The sequence below is a fragment of the Homo sapiens genome, chromosome 13, assembly GCF_000001405.40.
Source record: "Homo sapiens chromosome 13, GRCh38.p14 Primary Assembly".
In the NCBI taxonomy this organism is placed as follows: Eukaryota; Metazoa; Chordata; class Mammalia; order Primates; family Hominidae; genus Homo; species Homo sapiens.
In genome coordinates this window covers 107,527,268-107,548,965 of record NC_000013.11, presented here as the reverse complement: position 1 = coordinate 107,548,965, position 21,698 = coordinate 107,527,268, and the positions used below count along the sequence as shown (strand labels likewise).

At 36.7% G+C, this 21,698-nt stretch overlaps 1 protein-coding gene, 1 long non-coding RNA gene and 1 other non-coding gene across 3 annotated transcripts in view; all 3 read left to right on the top strand.

The window, feature by feature from the left end:
• NALF1 (NALCN channel auxiliary factor 1) overlaps nucleotides 1-21,698 on the top strand; it is a 703,987-nt gene that overhangs the window by 318,531 nt on the left and 363,758 nt on the right. The window lies entirely within an intron of this gene.
• The window catches only part of LOC112268110 (uncharacterized), a 31,815-nt gene that overhangs the window by 6,351 nt on the left and 3,766 nt on the right, over nucleotides 1-21,698 (top strand). Inside the window, exon 1 of the long non-coding RNA XR_002957493.2 lies at nucleotides 1-21,698. This exon is cut by the window's left edge and continues 6,351 nt beyond it. This is a non-coding gene — a long non-coding RNA (uncharacterized LOC112268110).
• Nucleotides 17,718-17,795, top strand: MIR1267 (microRNA 1267). Its single transcript, NR_031671.1, has one exon. It is a non-coding gene; the product is annotated as a microRNA 1267 (primary transcript).

The following is a 21,698-nucleotide window of genomic DNA, read 5'->3' as shown; positions in this document are numbered from 1 at the left end:
TTCTTGACCAAGATGCACTTTTCACAATTACATTTCTCACCCAGAAACTGCATAATACTTATATTTGGATTCCCAAAATATGACCAAAGCTGTCTTTATAATAAAATTTTTTATTTTATTTATATGTATAATACAAACACACACACACACGTGTGTGTGTATGGCTAGATATTCCTCTACAAGTTCACAGGCTACAAGTAGATAGTCAAGAAGGACATCAATGGGTCCAACAGAACACGCTTGGTGCTACCTGTGGGTTGCTATGGAACTAAGAGGGGAGCAGGTCAGGGCCCAGAACAGTCTGGAAAGCTTAAGGAACCATCTCCAGCAGAGTATGGCAGTTGATAGATTGTGGAGGGGGAGGAAGGACACTCATACATTGTGGGTGGGACTGTAAATTCATTCAATTATTGTGGAAATCAGTGTGGTGATTCCTCAAAGAGCTAAAAACAGAACTACTATTCAACCCAGCAATCCCATTACTGGATGTATACCCAGAGGGATATGAATCATTCTAAAGACACATGCATGCAGATGTTTTTTCAGCACTATTCACAATAACAAAGACATGGAATCAGTGTAAATGCCCATCAATGACAGATTGGATAAAGAAAATGTGGTGCATATACACCATGGAATACTGCGCAGCCATAAAAAAGAATGAGATTATGCCTTTTGTGGGAGCATGGATAGAGCTGGAGGCCGTGGTCCTTAGCAAACTAACACAGGAAGAAAAAACCAAATACCACTTGTTCTCACTTATAAGTGGGAGCTAAATGATGAGAACTCATGAACACAAGGGAACAACAGACCCTGGGGGCTACTCGAGGATGGAGGGTGGGAGGAGGGAGAGAAGCAGAAAAAATAACTATTGGATATTGGGTTTCATACCTGGGTGATGAAATAATCTGTACAATAAATGCCTGTGACACGAGTTCACCTATATAACAAACCTGCACGTGCACTCCTGAACCTAAAATTTAAAAAAAATAGGAAGGGGCTTTCTAGACAAGCATGGGCCATCTCCTATTTATTTTTTCCTAATAGAGTGTTCACTATTCCTTAATTACTTGTGCTACTACTGCTGGTCTTGCAGTCGCAACCCTTCTCTTTAAATTTTTTAAACACTGTTTTGTTCTACCAATAATCTCATCAGATTATAGACTATATGAATACATTTCAATTTAAGAGAAGTGGGTAATTACCACTCTGTTAAATGCCGTGTTGTCCTGGGTGAAGTTGCTCTAATGTGGCCCCAAGTGCTTAGGATGATATAGATGCAAGGACAGTGTGTGTGAGCCAGGAGCATAGGCCTGTGTTCTAAACTGGCTTCACCATGTGCTGCATGTATCATAACGGCAAATTGTGCCTTGGTAACCTCATCTGTAAAATGGGGATAATGGTAGTTGCCACCTCATAAAACTGTAGTGAGGATTAATTAAACTAATCCATGAAAAGTACTTTACAGAGTCCTTAGCCAATGAGAAACATTCAATAATTATTAACCATGTTATTATTCAACAATTGTTTAAAAATTTGGTAACCAACAGATGATATTTATTATAGACTCTTAAGTTCCAAAGTAATTGAAATTTAACATTATTCTAGTAAATAATGTCAAATTAAAGAATCTGGGATTTTATAACAAAATTCAATTTTTCTGGATTTCAGTTTCAATAGAACAGTTTCTTTCAGGAAAACACCTGAACAACTTTTTCACCCTCTGTCACAGAAATATTAGAAATCATGTTATTATACATATGAGGCACTCTTCTGATGTGGTTGAAGTCGAAGAATGAATGTTGTTATTTGTACTTTCTGTTTATATATTGTGATGATTATCAATGCTCATCATTTATTGGACACTCTCAAAGTGTCAGGCATTGAACAAAGATGTTTACAAATATGTTATTTAATTTTCATAACAAAACTATGATACAGGTATTATCTCCACTTGCAAATGAGCAGCCTAAGATGGTAAGAGAAGTCAGGTGACTCCATAATGGTCACACAGCTAATAGTTGAGTTGGGTTTAGAATACTAGGCTTGCCAATGTTTATCTGTAAATTATTCTCCCATATTTCCTCCAATACCATAAAATGGCATTTATTATATTAGGCACTCAAGTATACTGAGTGCTGCAGGAAGTGCTACTTAGATGTATAATGCAGTATACACACACAGCTTGGTAGTCGTATATCACAATATTTGTATTATTTCCTAAAAGGTAATTTTACTGATATACTACATCAGTGGAATTTGTTTACTTTTTAAATTTAGGCATAGATGGAAAGCTAGCCGGGAGAGAGACAGAGAGAGAGGGCGGGAGAGAGAGAGAAACCACAAAATAATTAAGCTTGCCTTATAGAGAAATATTGATTTGTATTAGCAATGGTTCAGGTTTTAGCTCGAGCTCTTTTGCCCCCTGGAAGTGCAAAGAAAAAGGCCAATGTAGAACTTGAATCTACAAATGAATGCAGTATTTAGGAGAGCTGATCCTAGTTTAAAATGAAATAACTCAGCCCATTATATTCTGGACATATCACCCATGAGGTCAATTAAGAGGAAACATGTGAGAGGATTTCTGGGCAAACCTGTGCTGGGAAAGCCTAGCCTGGAAAACCTTAGCAGGGTGTGTTTGTGCTTCGTATTGATTCCTCCTGCCTTGAGGACAAATGCAGTAGGTGTGTGTTATTATAAGAGCACTAAGTTCAAGTGGCAGCTTTCCCTCTTTTCATGAGGCCTGTCTGCAGAGCAGCAGGATGGAATAAATCGCAATGGGCTTTGTTGGCACACTGGCCCCAGGGTGCAAGAGGCCAAGTGGGTGTTGGCAGGTTTATCGGGTTGTTGGCTATAACTGCTGGGAAGAATGAAGGCCCAGCGGTTTCAGGTGATCTGCCGAGGACCCTGGGGAAAGCTGAAAAAATGTTCTCCAATGCTTGACCCAGAGCCCAGAACACTCCAGTATAAAGAAAGCCCCTGTTTTTATCTAACAAAGACAAGCCTGGAAAAATGCAACATCATTTAAGATGTTTGCTATGAGGAAGAAGTCTGTACAGAGGCAAACTAGTTATCAGGGATATTAGTTATTAGGGAGATTAGCATTTACTCATGCAATTCCAGGGTGTTAGGAGGTTCAGGAAGAGAGTCATACATAGAATCCACCCAATGGCTTTCTTTTTCAGTCTATACCATCTCGCACTGCCTATCTTGCCTGTTTCCACCCCACACTGCCCACATTCTCCCAGCATCATTCACAGCCACCTCTTCCCATTGGGATGCGTCGTACGTCTTGCTTCCTCACCTTTTCAGACCATGCTGGTTCCTGCTTGGAAATGACACTTGACCCTCAGCTCCATATCTGCTCTGACCCTATGGGTCTTTCAGATCTCAGGCTCCAACTGTCCTTCAGGGAGTTCTTGCCTGACCTAGTCCTTCCTTCCTGAGATAAACACAGACATCTCTGGTTTGCTCTGCTGTAGTCTATTGGCTTTCTCAAGCTACCATCACAAAACACCTGAATTCAGGTGGCTGAAAACAACAGAAATGTATTCTCTCCTGCTTCTGAAGGCTGGAAGTCTGAAATCATGGTGTTGGAGGGTCTGTGCTCCCTTTGAAGGCTCCAGAGGAGAATTTGTTTCCTGCCCCACTCTCAGCTTCCAGGTTGCAGGCTATCCTTGGCTTGTGGGTGCATTGCTGCAATCCCTGCCTCTGTCAGCACACAGCACTCCCCCTGTGTCTCTCCATATTGTCTCCCTCTGCATGTATCTGTCTTTATGTTTCTTCATCTTATGTGAATGCTCTTTATATGGGATTAGGCTCCACCCTAGGAACTGCATCTTAACTTGACTGCATCTATAGAGACCTATTTCCAAATAAGATCACCTTTATATGTACTAAGGGTTAGGACGTCGGCATATCTTTTGAGGGGGCAACTTAGCCCATAACGCAGAACAAAACTGTGTGTGTTCCTTAGAGAATTCAGCACAGTGTGTCACTGTATGTTTATTTTTGTGACTGTGTTGTCGCACAGTCATGAGCCTGTCTTCTGCAGAGGACGGTGATCTCCATTCTGTTCACCTGTAGCTCCAGCTCCTCACATGGTGATTGACACAGAATTGATGTTCCAAATATTTTATGAATGAATCTCTTTTCTACTTCTCTAGTCATGTGCTGAATGCTCCCCACTTTTTTTCTCCTTCAAGGCAGGGATGAAAGTCCTGTCACAAAGCATTAGTTGGTGTCAATAATAGGCTTCTCCCTGGATCTGAAAAGAAACTTAAAAAGCTGCTACACTGAGATGATTATAGAACCAAGGGTCCTGTGAAGGGTCATGGCTATCGAGTGCCCGTGGTGGCATTTTGGCCAGTTAAATCAGGATATGGACTGTGGGGTTCTAAACTTGTCTAAGTTTAGCAGCAAAAATGGTTTAGATGGAACTAGAATTCTGACTTCAGAAATTGCTCATGCTTCTATTTTGTCTCTGAGATATAATTTTGTTTATTCTAGTGAAAGAGTTGGGCAAAATTGCAGTTTTTCTTTATTTTTAATAGTTAACACATCTATTTTCAATTATGGCTTGAGTCATTTGAAATAAAGTAGTCTCTGAACTGGGAATATATGGCATATTAAAATATCACAAATGCCAAGCTTTCCTAACTCAATGATATTGCAAAGTCAAAATGGTATTTTCTTTCGGTATCCTAGAGAGTGTCTGTGTTTGAGGCCACTTAGCTAAAAGCATGCATCAGCCCACCTCTTTATGTGAGTGAAAGAGATAGCTTATTTAGAATGAATTTCATAATTTAGATTGCTCTGCATATGGCATGCTATTATCATGTTTGTACATTTCAATTATCTCATTAATTCTAGCAGAAGGGTGCCTTCTGATATGTTTGAGTATCAAAATACATTATGTTTTGACTTTTAGATTGTTGTTCCGACTGTAAACATCACCCCTACTCCACAGGTAGATTTTTTAAAAAATTGGTTATATAGAATTGATGATAAAAATATTTTATCAACCATAGATATTTTAACACTAAATTGCCACTATATTTCCACCATTTCATTTCTAGTTTTCTCTGCACCTCTGAATCGCTCTTTAGTTTGAGAACTCTAGAGGTTTTAGAGTTGGGTACATATGTGTATATATGTGGGTATATATGTGTATATATACACATATACATGTATAAATGTGTGTGTATATATACATGTATAAATGTGTGTGTATATATACATGTATGTATGTGTGTGTGTATATATATACGTGTATATACGCGTATATATATACCCACACATCTATATGCAGACCGTTCCCAATTTATGGTTCAACTTACACTGTTTCAACTGTGTGATGAGTTTATGAAAGGATCAGATACTTTATTGACAGAATACTTCTTACTTGTGATGGGTTTATTGGGATGCAACTCAGTCAAGGAGCATATGTGTATATATGGCAGATTTTTTTCTAGGAAGATATCTAATAAGTGAATACCTATTATGGCTGAATTGTAACTGCCTCTTTATATAAAAAGAACAGGACAGACGTGGATCCTTTTCTCTGTGAGTGAGCCTGAATAGTATCTTAAGTTAATTACAATTGAATTCATGACATGTGGTTTTTTTGTTTTGTTTTATGGTTGTTGTAATTTTATATAAAGTGGGCTAAATGAAATCATAACATATTATGTAGCATTAGTTTTAAGTTTCCATGCTAAACATACCCTAATTTATATTTTTTCCTTATACCTTAATTTACATTTAAGTTTAGTTTTAGTGATAGCCCTTTTAAATGTAAATATCTTTTTCAAAAGATAATCATTTGGCTCTTAAGTTAATATTCAGGTAGTCTGTTAAGTAGCTTTTGTTCAGAATGCAAGTAGAGTGATTTCAACTAATATATCTGTCTGAATGAATTAAGGGTCTTTAGTAAACAGATATAAGAAACATGACAATAGTGTTTGCGAAGGTGATAGAACAGTGATTATTATAAACTGTGAGGAGAAAAGTTGTGACAAATGGACAAAAGAACATTTATATAATTATCAAGAAATATAAACTATTTTGATGCCATGGTTTCTAATGTTTTGGAAACATGACTTAAAATGATAAATGATAGTGTCTTTTTAGTTGACTAAACTTACAATATGTTAATAGATTTTCTAAGAAAAATTTGAAGCTAAGAATTCAAATTTACTTGCTGAGTAGCCATATGGAATTATCAGCATATATTCCAACAGCAATACATATAGAACTACTAACGTATTGTTTTAATTTTACATTTAATTGACATGGTTTATTGATGGAAACTTTTGGGCTCAGACTTTATACTAATCACATGTCAAATAAATACATTTGATTGAGTGGAGATACTGATATTGATGTCTGGTTCTTTTAAGTGAAAAAGTACATTTGGATCATATCTGATTCAACTAATTTTTTAAAAACAGCATTACTGACTTATAACTGACATACCATACAATTCACACATTTGAAATATACAATTCAGTGGGTTTTAATATATTCACAGATATGTCAAACTATCACCACAGTCAATTTCTGAACATTTTCTCATTACAAAGAGAAACTCAGTTTCCTTTAGCTACTACCTTTCTACAGTGTCATTGCCCCCCTCCCCCACCAGCCTGAAGCAACCACTCACCTACTTTTGTCCCATACATTTGCCTATTTGGAATATTTCATATAAATGGAATCATATAATATGTGGTTTATTGTGTCTTGTTTCTTTCACTTAGCACAATGCTTCCCAAGTTCATCCAGGTGGTAGCATGTATCAGTACTTCATTCTTTTTCATGACTGAATAATATTCCATTGTACAGATAAACTACATTTTGGTTTTCCATTCATCCTTTGATAGGCATTTGGGTGGTTTTCACTTCCTACATTGGGATATCAAATTCAAAAGCCTTCAGGGACCATCCAGGCAATAAGAATGAGAGAAGCAAGCTAGGGCTCCACAGAGACCTTGAGGTTGTGGTCAGCTCCACAGTGCTTGTTTTCTGAAACTTCTCTATTCATAGTTATCAAGGAATCTTTTGGACTTCTTGGCAAAGTATATAGAACTCTGGAGGGTGGCCACACTTAGTTCTTGGAGCTATACTTAAAATCTCACTGAAACAAAGCCATCATCATTGAGGAATAGAGGTTCAATCAATAAGTATAGCAGAGTCTGCTGCTCTTCTTTATCCTAAGGAAACAATATTTTTTCTTTTCTGTATCTGTTGTTCCATGTTTATAGTAGAAGACTATCATGTCATTATCAGTAAAGGCACATGCAGACACCTGCACACACACACATATATCACCAAAATAAAAATAAAACTGAAGGGCACAGTGCATATATAAAGCTATATGCATTTAAAGTCAGTATCAGATCATAAGGGCTTTGGTGTGGTCCACAGGGGAAAATCTTGTGCCCTCTCTGTCTTTCCATCCCTCCCTTTCTTCCTCTCTCCTTCTCTTTCTCTTTTTAAACTCAAAAGAGATTGGTCATTCAAGAATTCTGAGTTATGAATTCGACTATTCTTCTCTTTTGATTAAATGCCCTTCTTTTTATCTAGCAAATGAAGGAAGAGAAGGGGTACTTCTGCAGACAGAGACATACTGAATTAATGTCCTTAAACAACAACGGTGTTTAGGACAATGTACCATCCATGCTGGAACAGCCTCTTCAAAAGCAAGACTAGAAGAGCAGCTCCAGTAACCAGCCTCATCTTTGAAATAACAAAAATGTGTTTTCAAACAGACATGTAACGATCCAAGCTTTTTATTTTTTGACAGTTGAATAATTAATTGCAGTACATTTGTAAGGTTATTAAAAGCTTTGGATTGAGTAGGGAAAAGTAAAGAGCATGAATCTTGCTTTTCAGTTTTTGTTTATTACAAGAGGCTGTCAGAGCTGTTTTTAATTCATTTAATATTCTTGTTAATAACAAGTCTAATTAAGAAATCCATTAGAAGTCTGTAAAGTTAATTTAACAGGGGTATGTCCTAATGAAGTGTTACTGGAATTGTCTTTTTAAAAAGGGTGCCATAGTGTTTCATGGATTCTTAAGCAGAATCTACTCTTTTCTAAATAAGTTTATGTATTCAAGTTTGTGTGTTTTTAAAGTTTCTTGTTTAGGAATATCCAAAAACTTTTTTTGGCCAATGTATACATCACCACATACATATGTATCCCAGACTTTAATGCTTGTTGTGCTGGCAGGAGTTTGGAAATTGGATGACTTTAGTTTGTATAAAATGTTTAGAGTGCAGGAGAAGACTAAATGATTTTTACTCCTAATGAAACCAACATTTTAAAATTCAGGCAACATGAGTACCAGCAGTCACTGTGGAAATTAACGCCAGAGCTTTCGATTGATCCAGCATTTCAAAAGCAAATTGTTCCCTTTTCTAAAAGGTCTGTATTTTCTGCCTCTAGTGAGCATATATACATACATATAAAATATTTACTTTAGGAAATCAAGAATGCAACTTTAGGATATATGATACAACCTTTTGGTCATGATAGAGAAGTTAGAAATTTAAATGTTGTTTATGTAGTATAAGTATATTAAAAAACTGCTGAAATCAAACCCAGAGGCAGTTTATTCAAGTTTATTAAAATAAAAATATTTTTTATATGTTAGATATTTCAGCTTTAGCAGAGGTTGAAGAATCTGGAATTCCATTTCCTCTCAGTAGACTAGAGCTTGACAAACATTCCATGTAAAATCCTATTCCTACTATACTTAAAGAGAATGCCATTCACAACCATCAAAGGTATAAAGAGCATTCCTTGAATCATAACAAGCAACGACTTAGCTGTGTTTTTCTGATGGGAATTGCCTACAGAATCATAATGCTTTACAAATTGTCTAATATGTGTATGTGTGTGTGTGTGTGTGTGTACATCAGAAGCTGATGGGTATCTATTGTCGTTTTCCTCTTGTTTTGTTTTTAATGATATTTTAAGAAATTATTAATTAGAGCTATTCATCAACTATTACAGTTATGCTATCTTTAGGAACATTAGAAATAAGACTGTAAGTTTATACGTCTCAGTAATGTATAGCAAAACCAGCACTTCATACTAGTCAAGAATTTGTGAATTGGAGTCATAGAACTGAGTTTGAGTCTTAGCTTCACCAATTATGATTTAGACACAAAGTCATAACCACTGCAAGTGTAAACATATAAGTCATATGATTTAGAACATTTCAAAGAGCCATTGCAAGTCAGTAAATATCCAAATAATGTCAACACAGTCATTTAATTAACTCTATATAAAATATTTTGTGTATTTTATACTATTTCAGAATATTAATGTATTGTTTTTTAATAGTCATCTCATAAAACATCTCTTATTTCTCCCCATTTTATAGATGAAAAATAAGTTTAGAAAATTAAGTTGAACTGAGCAAACATTCTTTGATTGTCAACCCTATGCTGAAGGTGTTTGAATGTGTTCCCCAAATTCATGTGTTGGAAATCTAATCTCAAATGCAGCAGTGTTGAGAAGCGGGGCTAATAAGAGGTGATTGACTCACAAGGGCAGAGCCCTCTTCAATGGATTCATGTTTCATTATCGTGGGAGTGGGTTTGCTGTTGTGAGAATGGATGGTTGTAAAAGTGAGTATGCTTCTCCTTCTTGCTCTGTCTTGCACGCTTGCTTCTGCCTTCCATCCTTCTGTCATGGGATGACCCTCACCAGATGCTGATGCCATGATTTTGGACTTCCCAGTTTCCAGAATCATAAGTTGAATGAGCTTATTTTCTTGATAAATTGACCAGTCTGTGATATTCCATTGTTAGAGCAATGGAAAATGGTCTAAGAAAATAGCCTACCACAGCCTAGTACCCAAATTCCAGTGATGTATTAAAAATAAGAAGTTCACATGTGTGTTGTTTACTAATGTATACCTACCAAGGGTTTAGCAAAATTTCTTGAGTGAGATAAATACTAAATAGATATTTGAGAGCAAAATGAATGAATGGATGGATGGATGGATGATCATAATTATAATAAGAATGGGTACTATTTATTAAGTAATTTCTAAATTATTTTTATGAAAGCTAAGCTATATTGACCATTAACTATATTTAAAGTGCTATGCTGGACCGTTTATAAATATTATCTATTATAATTCTTAAAACAATCTTGTGGAACAGATAGGATCCCCATGTTAGTGAGAAGTAAACTGTAGCTTAGAGAAATTAAGCAATTTTTCTCAAGTTTTCAGGTAAGAATCAGTGTTTGAACTGAGGTCTGATTCCAATGACAGAATCTTGAGATATATTGTCCAATGAGAAACAGGATCTATGATATCATATGATTAGAACTAAGAATCAGTGTTTGAACTGAGGTCTGATTTGAATGACAAAATCTTGAGATATATTGTCCAATGACAAACAGAATTTATGAGATCATATGATTAGAACTCCATGTAGGTCCTTCATTTACTTGGCTTGTTGAAAGGTAATTTAACCTGAGCTCCAATGGTTTCACCTTTAACATAAGAAAAGTAACATTTTCTATGTTGTAGGATTATGCCGATTAAATCTTTGCAAATGGAAATGTTTTATAAAATACACTTTGTGGGTAAGGGGGGATTCAAAAGAAAATGGTTCAAGGATTACCGATCCATGAAAGACTTACAGAGAAGGTAGCATGAAGAGTGAAAAGAAGTTTTCCAAATAAAGGATATGGATTGTACAAATAGAAAGAAATGCATTTATTACATGGCTTGATTGGAATATATGGCACAAGTTGGTCAGATGTAGAAAATAGAAGAATTGAAAGTCAATTGTGGTCTTCAATCATATTTTATTGGATCTGGAAAATCTTCACAAATCAGACAATTTCACTACATTAATTAAGATTACTGTTGCTCTGGAAAGTTTGAAGAATTTGTTGTGGTGATGGTGGTTGTTGTTGTTGTTTGAGATGGGGTGTCACTTTACTGCCCAGGCTGGAGTGCAGTGACTCGATGTTGGCTCACTGCAACCTCCACCTGCCAGTTAAAGCAGTTCTCCTGCCTCAGTGTCTCGAGTAGCTGGGATTACAGGTATGTGCCACCATGCCCAGCTAATTTTTGTATTTTTAGTGGAGACAAGATTTCACCATGTTGGCCAGGCTGGTCTTGAACTCCTGACCTCAAGTGATCTACCTGCCTCAGCCTCCCAAAGTGCTGGGATTATAGGCATGAGCCACCATGCCCATCTGAAAGTTTGAAGAATTTGGCCCCACTTACTGTGTGCTGTGCATTGCCACACTCAGTGCCACTGCCTGGAGTCTGGACTGTGAAGCTGACCACATCCTCAGGGTCTCTGTGGATTCCTAGTTTGCTTCTCATTCTTATTGTCTGGATGGTCCCTGAAGGCTTTTGAGTTTCACATTCCGATATAAGACGACAACTGTATCATTATTAGCATGAATCTGTAAAAATATTGTGGCAATGACAAAGTGAAAAACAAATTACTTTGTTACTATAGAAATCAAGTGTTCAACAAATCTCAGTTCCATTCATATCCTTCATTGGCATGATGAAAAATTGATTCCATTCACTAAATAAAAAGTTATATTAGTAAAGCTAAATATTAATCAAATATTACATCTCAGTTATAAAACTAGTGGCATGTATAAGAGGGGAATACATGTTTAAGTTAGTTTCCAAATTGGGCTAAGAAAGTGCATATGAAACACTCCCTTTTTTTTTAACTTTTTAAAAATTATACTTTAAGTTCTAGGGTACATGTGCACAATGTGCAGGTTTGTTACATATGTATACATGTGCCATGTTGGTGTGCTGCACCCATTAACTCGTCATTTACATTAGGTATATCTTCTAATGCTATCCCTCCCCACTCCTCCCACCCCACGACTGGCCCTGGTGTGTGATGTTCCCCGCCCTGTGTCCAAGTGTTCTCATTGTTCAATTCCCACCTATGAGTGAGAACATGCAGTGTTTGGTTTTTTGTCCCTGTGATAGTTTGCTGAGAATGATGGTTTCCAGCTTCATCCATGTCCCTACAAAGGACATGAACTCATCCTTTTTTTATGGCTGCATAGTATTCCATGGTGTATATGTGCCACATTTTCTTAATCCAGTCTATCACTGATGGACATTTGGGTTGGTTCCAAGTCTTTGCTATTGTGAATAGTGCTGCAGTAAACATACGTGTGCATGTGCCTTTATAGCTGCATGATTTATAATCCTTTGGGTATATACCCAGTAATGGGATGGCTGGGTCAAATGGTATTTCTAGTTCTAGATCCCTGAGGAATCACCACACTGACTTCCACAATGGTTGAACCAGTTTACAGTCCCACCAACAGTGTAAAAGTGTTCCTATTTCTCCACATCCTCTCCAGCTCCTGTTGTTTCCTGACTTTTTAATGATCACCATTCTAACTGGTGTGAGATGGTATCTCATTGTAGTTTTGATTTGCATTTCTCTGATGGCCAGTGATGATGAGCATTTTTTCATGTGTCTTTTGGCTGCATAAATGTCTTCTTTTGAGAAGTGTCTGTTCATATCCTTTGCCCACTTTTTGATGGGGTTGTTTGTTGTTTTCTTGTAAATTTGTTTGAGTTCATTGTAGATTTTGGATATTAGCCCTTTGTCAGATGAGTAGGTTGTGAAAATTTTTCTCCCATTTTGTAGGTTGCCTGTTCACTCTGATGGTAGTTTCTTTTGCTGTGCAGGAGCTCTTTAGTTTAATTAGATCCCATTTGTCAATTTTGGCTTTTGTTGCTATTGCTTTTGGTGTTTTAGACGTGAAGTCCTTGCCCATGCCTGTGTCCTGAATGGTATTGCCTAGGTTTTCTTCTAGGATTTTTATGGTTTTAGGTCTAACATGTAATTCTTTAATCCATCTTGAATTCATTTTTGTATAAGGTGTAAGGTAGGGATCCAGTTTCAGCTTTCTACATATGGCTAGCCAGTTTTCCCAGCACCATTTATTAAATAAGGAATCCTTTCCCCATTTCTTGTTTTTGTCAGGTTTGTCAAAGACCAGATGGTTGTAGATGTGTAGTATTATTACTGAGGGCTCTGTTCTGTTCCATTGGTCTATATCTCTGTTTTGGTACCAGTACCATGCTGTTTTGGTTACTGTAGCCTTGTAGTATAGTTTGAAGTGAGGTAGCATGATGCCTCCAGCTTTGTTCTTTTGGCTTAGGATTGTCTTGGCAATGTGGACTCTTTTTTGGTTCCATATAAACTTTAAAGTAGTTTTTTCCAATTCTGTGAAGAAAGTCATTGGTAGCTTGATGGGGATGGCATTAAATCTATAAATTACCTTGGGCAGTACGGCCATTTTCACAATATTGATTCTTCATATCCATGAGCATGGAATGTTCTTCCATTTGTTTGTGTCCTCTTTTATTTTGTTGAGCAGTGATTTGTAGTTCTTCTTGAAGAGGTTCTTCACATCCCTTGTAAGTTGGATTCCTAGGTATTTTATTCTCTTTGAAGCAATTGTGAATGGGAGTTCACTCATGATTTGGCTCTCTGTTTGTCTGTTATTGGTGTATAAGAAGGCCTTTGAAAAAATTCAACAGCCCTTCATGCTAAAAACTCTCAAGAAATTAGGTATTGATGGGACGTATCTCAAAATAATAAGAGCTATTTATGACAAACCCACAGCCAATATCATACTGAATGGGCAAAAACTGGAAGCATTCCCTTGGAAAACTGGCACAAGACAGGGGTGCCCTCTCTCACCACTCCTATTCAACATAGTGTTGGAAGTTCTGGCCAGGGCAATCAGGGAGGAGAAAGATATAAAGGGTATTCAATTAGGAAAAGAGGAAGTCAAATTGTCCCTGTTTGCAGATGACATGATTGTATATTTAGCCCCATCATCTTGACCCAAAATCTCCTTAAGCTGATAGGCAACTTCAGCAAAGTCTCAGGATACAAAATCAATGTGCAAAAATCACAAGCATTCTTATACAGCAATAACAGAAACACTCCTTTAAAAATGGCTGATCTGGATGCTTAAAAGCTTTGAGGCAAATAATTATACACCAACAACCTGCAGAAATCTTGGTATGTGGATGCGTTTGAGTCAGAAGAAAAAAATGCTTCACACTGAATACTCTGTACTTTACCATACAATCAAAAGAATAATTATCTTTCCATCCAGAGGAGAAGCTTCAGGTCAGTGGTTGTCATGGAGTAGTTCAGGGGTCTCCTGCTTCAGAGTCACTGTTAGTGTTTTGTCTGAAATACAGTCAGCATCAGCACTGTACTTGCTTAACCCAGATCCCTGAGAGAGATGCCTGAGGTCTGCATGTTTTAACAAATTCCTCAGCTAAAATGTAGGAAATACTGGCTTATTTGTATATTATAAAATTAACATTCCAGGCTTAATACTTAAGTAATATGTTGATCTGTTCAGCAAACCACTGTGTCACACATTTACCTATGTAATAAACCTGCACATTCTGCATATGTACACCTGAACTTAATAAAAGATGGAAGAAAACAAAAAATAACATTAGTATTTCATATTAACTTTTGTCCTTATTGCTCCTCTTTTCCCCATCTCTCTCCTTTTGTTCTTTTTTTAACTGAATTACAAATAGTTTTTCTTAGAGGAAAATGTTAATATGCATCAAAATAAATATAAACATATTTTAGCAATTTTAAAATTGTTTTTAATTGGAAGATGAGGCAAAAATTCTGAAGTAAACATGTTTGTGGCTCTAAAAAGATCATACTTTCCAGAGTCATCTGAAGGGCTTGTGAAAATACATCTCTGGGCACCACGGCAGAGTTTCTGATTTCATAGGTCTGGGGAGGGCCCAGAACCTACGTATCTCACACACATTTCCAAGTGATGCTGATGCCACTGGGCCAATGACCACATTTTTATATCATTACCCTGGATTTCCCTCTCACGTTCCATTTCTCTCTGCTCTCTTCAGTCTCCCTCTCCCTTTTACAGGTAATTTTCCTCTTTGCAGGATATTTGGTCCCCTGGTTCTCCCCAAGTCATAATAGATCTTTTTGTCTCTCCCCCTCCCCATTTCCCATTAATGTTAACTCTATATTTTCAAACAGTTTGTAGAACTGATTTTACCTATGTTCAATGACAAAGACACTCCCTTAGAAGTATTGAGCTTTTCCTGAGACCTTAACGGAAGACATGATCCTGGATGGTGTCATGTTAGGCATCACAGACCCTCAACAAAAGACAGATTTGGGGGTGTTGCTTTGTTGGAGAGTGTGTTTTGTTTTGTTTTCTGAAAGATGGCCTTTGGAATACTTCCTCAAGTCCTTTCCTGGTAATTATGTGATTCACAGAATCTCTAATTTGAACAGTTATTAAAGAATATCTTCATTTGTTTGTGCTGCTGTAGCAAAATACCATACACTGTGTACTTTATAAAGAACAGAAATTTATTTTCTTACCATTCAAAAGGCAGGGAAGTCCAAGATCAAGGTGCAGGCATGTTCGGTTGTTGGATGAGGGCTGCCTCCTCTGTAGGGGAGGAAGGCTGTGTCCTCTCATGGCAGAGACCTGAAAGCCCTTTTCAGAAGGGCCTTATCCATTTATGGTGAAGGAGCCTCATGACCTAATCACCTTCCAGGGGCCCTGTCTTTCAATGCTGTCACTGTGGTGATTTGGTTTTAACATGAATTTTGGAGGATCTGACATTCAAACCATAGCAAAGAACCTACACTCACGTAATTATAGCACTCTGCATTTCAAATGTGTAAATTTCTATAAATGTTTCTAACAGTCACTTTACAAACAAAATATGTAAAACAGAGAAAAAAGAAAGGGGCAAAACTGAGCCTCATTAAAAGTTATGGTTATAACTCTCTTTTCGTGGGGATATTAATTTTAGTAGAATGAGTTAAATAAAAGTTTAAGTCAAAAAGAGAGGCAACAGCTGCCTCCAGTCAAAGTGTCTGGTTTCTAAATGATGTTTTAAATTTCCAGCTTAGCATGTATTCTTAATTTTTATATCATTTTTAATATGTTAATGGCTACTGTTTTTAGGTTGTTTTCTTAACAGTTCTGCAACTACCTTTAAGATGTTTTTTGAAGTCTAGGTGGCAATATTTTGTCTTCAGTTAATATAATTGCAATATTACGTTAGAAACTAGCACAAAATTATATTCCTGAATAATCTCTAAATTGCTAACTTTTCAGGGATTTATATTTTCTGAAAATTAACATTCTTGAGAATTTCATTAATGTCCCAGGCAAATCACATAAATGGACCAAACACATGAGACAGAAAAATTAAAGTTGAAATGAGGTCTATAAGAGATTCTCAAATATTTGAAATACCTCAAGTCAAAAGATATGAGTATATAAAAACTTCATGTAATATAATTTGATTAATTTTCCAGTAGTTTATGGAGTATGATTTTGGACTATACCACACTGTAAGCCTTAGGTTTTGTAATAACCTGAACTCTTGATATTTAAGAAGATAAATTTCATGTTTGTTGATGAGGAAGCACACACCACTAGAATGAACGCTTATTGGAAAAGCATTGTAACACTGAGAAAACACTAGCAATGAATGATTTTTCTTCATAGAGAAAGGAAGCAGCAAAACAGTCCATAATGAGAGCTCAGCCAAGGGAAACAAAAATCATTGAAATTTCTTAATAGATTCTTTAATACTGATTATTAGATAGAAGCATGTTTTACACTGTGGGAATCCATAAGATTTCAAAGAAAAAGATGCTGTTTTACTTTAAAATGTTGACCTTGAAAGGCTGTAGCTTTTTAAACTCTACTTTTGTTCACTTTCTTTCTCTTTCATTTTGTTCTTGGTTGTCTGCAAGAAACTTGGAGGAGAACCTAGCACATCAAAGGATTTAGTATACAAAAGGGTAGCTTGTAAGTCAGTTAAGAAACAAAGCATTTTCTATTAAATGCTTCTAGGATAACTCACTATTTGAGAGAAAATTTTCAAGTTAGGTAAGTATGCAAATTCAGCTGCGTTATGAACTTGATTGTGAAAAAGCCATGTTAGTCATCTAGAAAACAAATACGTAAATAGAAGATTGCAAAATGGCAGAGAAGTTTATAAGCATAAAATTAATTTTTAAAAATTCTAAGGGGAGTATCAGTAGATAATACTTCACATGACACAAAACTTTGGCATATCTAACACCATCATAAAAAAGATGCAAATGAGAAGCTGGAAAAATTACTTGCAACACGTATTCCAGTCAAACAACAACAAAAGAAGATGAGCATACTGAGATAAAAGTGGAAAAAAATACAGACAGACAACTCATAAAATGAAAAAAATACAAACATTTAATGTGAGTTTAACTAAAATGTACTGGTTTTGATGTTGAATAAACTGGGAAAATTAATAAGATAATATTGATGATTAGTGTCACTGATTATATTAGACCATTCTTGCATTGCTATAAAGGAATACCTGTGATTGCATAATTTATAAAACAAAGAGGTTTAATTGGCTCATGATTCTTCAGGCTTTATAGGACCCATGGTTCTGGCATCTGCTCGGCTTCTGGGGAGTCCTCAGGAGCTTACAATCATGGTGAAAGGTGAAGAAGGAACAGTCTTTGTCACGTGACCAGAGCCAGAACAAAAGAGAGAGAGTTGGGGGTAAGGTGCCATACACTCAGAAGAAGAGCTCACTCATCACCAAGAGGATGGCCCAAGCTATTCATGAGGGATCTGCCTCCGTGATCCAAATACCTCCCAAATCTCCTGTTGAAGTGTAATCCCCACCTCCAGCATTGGGGATTACATTTCAACATGAGATTTGGATGAGGACAAATATCCGGACTCCATCAGTGGTCAAGAACTTTTTATTTCTGGAGAGCTATGTTAAAATATATGTTAAAAGTCCATCCTCTTTAGTTCTGTAATTCCTAATATAGGAATGCATCCTAATAAAATATCTCAGATGTATATATATATATATATGTGAATGACAATGTTCAGCAGAGTTCTTTTTTAGGGTACAAAGACTATCCCTTTAACAGTTTTTACATAACTAAAATGTTTCCACTAAAAATCACAATAAAAATCGTCAGTGTTCTTTTCACATTTCAGGCAATCCTGCTGGTTTTCATATTATTTTTAAAACTTTATAAGGAGAATGGTGAAAATAGTTCATATATAACTTAGATGCTTGTTCTTTCTATATTGTCAGCTGCTTTTCACAAATGATTAGCCTCAGCTCTGGACAGATTTCAGCTTACATCAATATGATGTAAGTGATACTATGTTTTCTCTATAGCTGTGGTGATTTGCAATATTATTTTTGCCTCCTATTTGTCATGTAGTACCTGCTGGGCTGCCTCAACAGATAGTATTTGTACAATGGCATTTTTGTGTGGAATGAGTCCATCTTCTGCATACATCCACATGTTATGAATATACTAAAATGATCACAGGTCATACATAAAAATCTTGTCATTTAAAAAAAATCTTACAAATATTAAATTTAGAGGAATGTCTTAGATTTTGCTTCAGTCTATATGGATATACTTCATTCATTCAGCAAGTAATTTGCTGAGCACTTACTATGTATGATGTTTTCATGGCTCTGGGGATATAGTAGATGATCAAGTAGCTTAAAAGTATCCATGCTAGTGGTGGATATAGGTAGTAAATAGGAAACAAATATAAAAATAATTATGGATTGGGATATATGCTATGAAGTAAACAAAGGCAGACTATCTTGCTAGGATGGAGGTTTTGTCTTTGGACAGAGCTTTTAGGCCTCCTTAAGTAGATGACTGAGCTATAAAGCATAAGACTGAGCCTGCCTCATTAATAGGCAGGAGAGAGTGTCCCAGGGTGGAGAGAGAACAAGGTAAAGGTGCCCAGGTGGGGATTTGAGGGTTGGAGCTAAGGGAGCCCATATTGCTGAATAAGAGTGAGCTGTGGAAAGAAGGCATGAGTTAGCTATAGAACCCTTGCTTCTTATTCTTACTCTTGGGTATTAACAGTCATCTTCCTCTTGAAAGCTGAGAATAGCAGTTTAGGCAGATTGTGAGTTTGGCTTTGGTTCTTTATGGAAAGATACCTTGGAGTCCCATGGCCACTAGATGAAGGGATGTCAAGCATTGTAACTAGCCAACTGCATCCCTACCATGGATAGTTTCCAACATTCTGTTGCTCTTAGAAAGTCCTGAGACATCATCCTTTCCTTCAGGTGATGCCCGTTCCTCTCTCACATGGCAGTCAGAGCTTACGGAAGATCTAAAAAAAGGAAAAAGATGTAATTAATTCATCACATCTTCCAATCATCACACACACATTGCAATGGGAGCCAAGCTGGTGAATGGTTGGCTACTGTCCTGCGGGGCCATCTTGGAAGAGCTGGAAGTCAGCCTTGCTGGCCTTTTATCTGGAAGTCCAGATTAGACCACTGAATTGCACACATCTAGGACATATAGTGTGAATATTGAGGGTTGTATGAAAAGTCAAAAGCAGAAAGTTTGAGGAACATCTAAGATTACCAAATAATTTGCTGTTTCATTAATGTACTTTGCTTGCTTAAATCTCCGTTTTCAAATTCCCTTTCTGCCATCTGGGGCATTCTCTTTCCTGACTGCCTACCCAATTGCTACTCATCTTTTTTATCTGAAGGCCTGGATCGGTGAAGTGATTCTGAAAGTCATACAACTTGTTAATACCAGAGCTATGGTCTCGTTTCTCTGCTCTTGAATAATTATTCACTATGCAGGTATTCACCCATTCCTTCACTTGCTGAGAGTCAGCCAGCCATATGCTAAGCACTGAGAGAACTAACATGGTTAAGACAAAGTCTCCAGCATTAGGCTTCTCTCTCTCTGGTGGGAAGATCTTGTTAAGCAAATGAAATAGAACATAAATGAATGGATAAAGCTCTGGTCAGGGTGCCGTGGGAAAACAGAGGTGAGACTGAGTAACACTGTAGAAAAGGTCCAAAATTCATACTTTTATTGGAAAATAAGCAGGGTTAGCCAGGAAGAGGAACACGTTTCATGGGCAGAGGCCATGTACCTAACAGTTCATGATAGAAAGAATTGTGTCCTTTTCTGTTTATTAAAAGATTTCATTGTGCTTTTGTTTCTTTGGTTATTTGGTAGCAGTATTTGGTCTCTTTGGTTCTTTAACTGATTGTGCTGGGTCCTTTACTGTACGTATTAATGAATCGTCGTGATGACAAGCAATCTTTTCAATGACTCTTCTACCTACATCAGAGACTCCTGACATCAGCTTGTATCAGGAGGCTGTCTCATCCACTGTCCTTCTCTGATGGGGTAATTCCTCAGGACCTACTATGTTATCTATGTTGACCCAAATTTATTCTCAGTTCTGGCTTGCGCACCTGGAGAACAGGCCTTTATCCCTTGATGCCTGCCGGATGCTTGACACCTTTGAAATTAGGCAATTCCCCTCGAGGCTTGTTTTAGAGAGAGGGTTTTGGAGCCTGGGATAATTTGAATAATTTCATAATGTAAAAAAGAAACAAAAGTTTATGTGACCCAGTCAGTGAATTCCTCTTTAAAGGGACATGTTTTAATCTAAAAGAACGTATGAATCCATTAAAGGTTACAAGTAACTGATATGTCACACAGTTACTTGTTAGAATATATTTATATAGGCTTTTGTTTTAACCAGAATATATAGTTTTAACTTACTTATTATGACATAACGTTTATTATGACAAAGTTTCTGTTATTTACATGAACATATTGGCCCCATTGTGGAACTATTTTTTTTTCTAATAGGTCTAACATGTTAATTTTAAAAATTGCTATTACCAACATGCAGATTATGGTATTACTGTCCAGATTAATTGCAGAGACCATTTTCAGTTATCTTTACCAAATAATTGACTATTTAAGCATGTTTATGTTTATATATACTCGCATTTTTATAGCAGTGGGTGTTCTTTCAGTTATATTCCTAATGACAATTCATTTTGTCAGATATGTTTATATTACTTTGTAGTAAACTAACTTCTTTTGAAATACAAGAATTCTTTTTAAATAAGAAAATTCAGTTAGGCTTTGTATTAGTTTGTTTTCACACTGCTGATAAAGACATACCTGAGACTGGGTAATTTAAAAGGAAAAAGAGGTTTAAGGGACTCACAGTTCCACGTGGCTGGGGAAGCTTCACAATCATGGCAGAAGCAGAAAGGTACGTCTTACATGGCAGCAGACAAGAGAGAATGAGACCCAAGCGAAAGAAGTTTCTCCTTATGTAATCATCAGATCTTGTGAGACTTATTCACTCCCAGGAGAACAGTATGGAGAAACCACCCCCATGATTCAATTATCTCCCACCGGGTGGCTCAGACAACACAGAATTGTGGGAGCTACAATTCAATATGTGCTTTGGATGGGGCACAGCCAAACCATATCAGACTTTACGTGCCCAGAGCATTTTAAATTGAGGCGTATAAATCTGTATTTAATTATCAGCCATGGAAAACGTGTATGTTTGTGTTTGTGTGTGCATACTTGCATGCCCCATGCATATGCGTAATTAAAACGTTTTACTGTTTTAATTAACTCTTTGAAAACTAAAGATTTAAACTTCCAAAATCGAACATATCTATGCCATTCTCAGAGCTTTTTTTCTTCTTCTGGCCTGTCAGAATTTCTCTGTTCATGTTCCCAAAGATATCCCCTGAACGCTTCGCTGATGTTAATTTATCACAAAGGAGCCAAG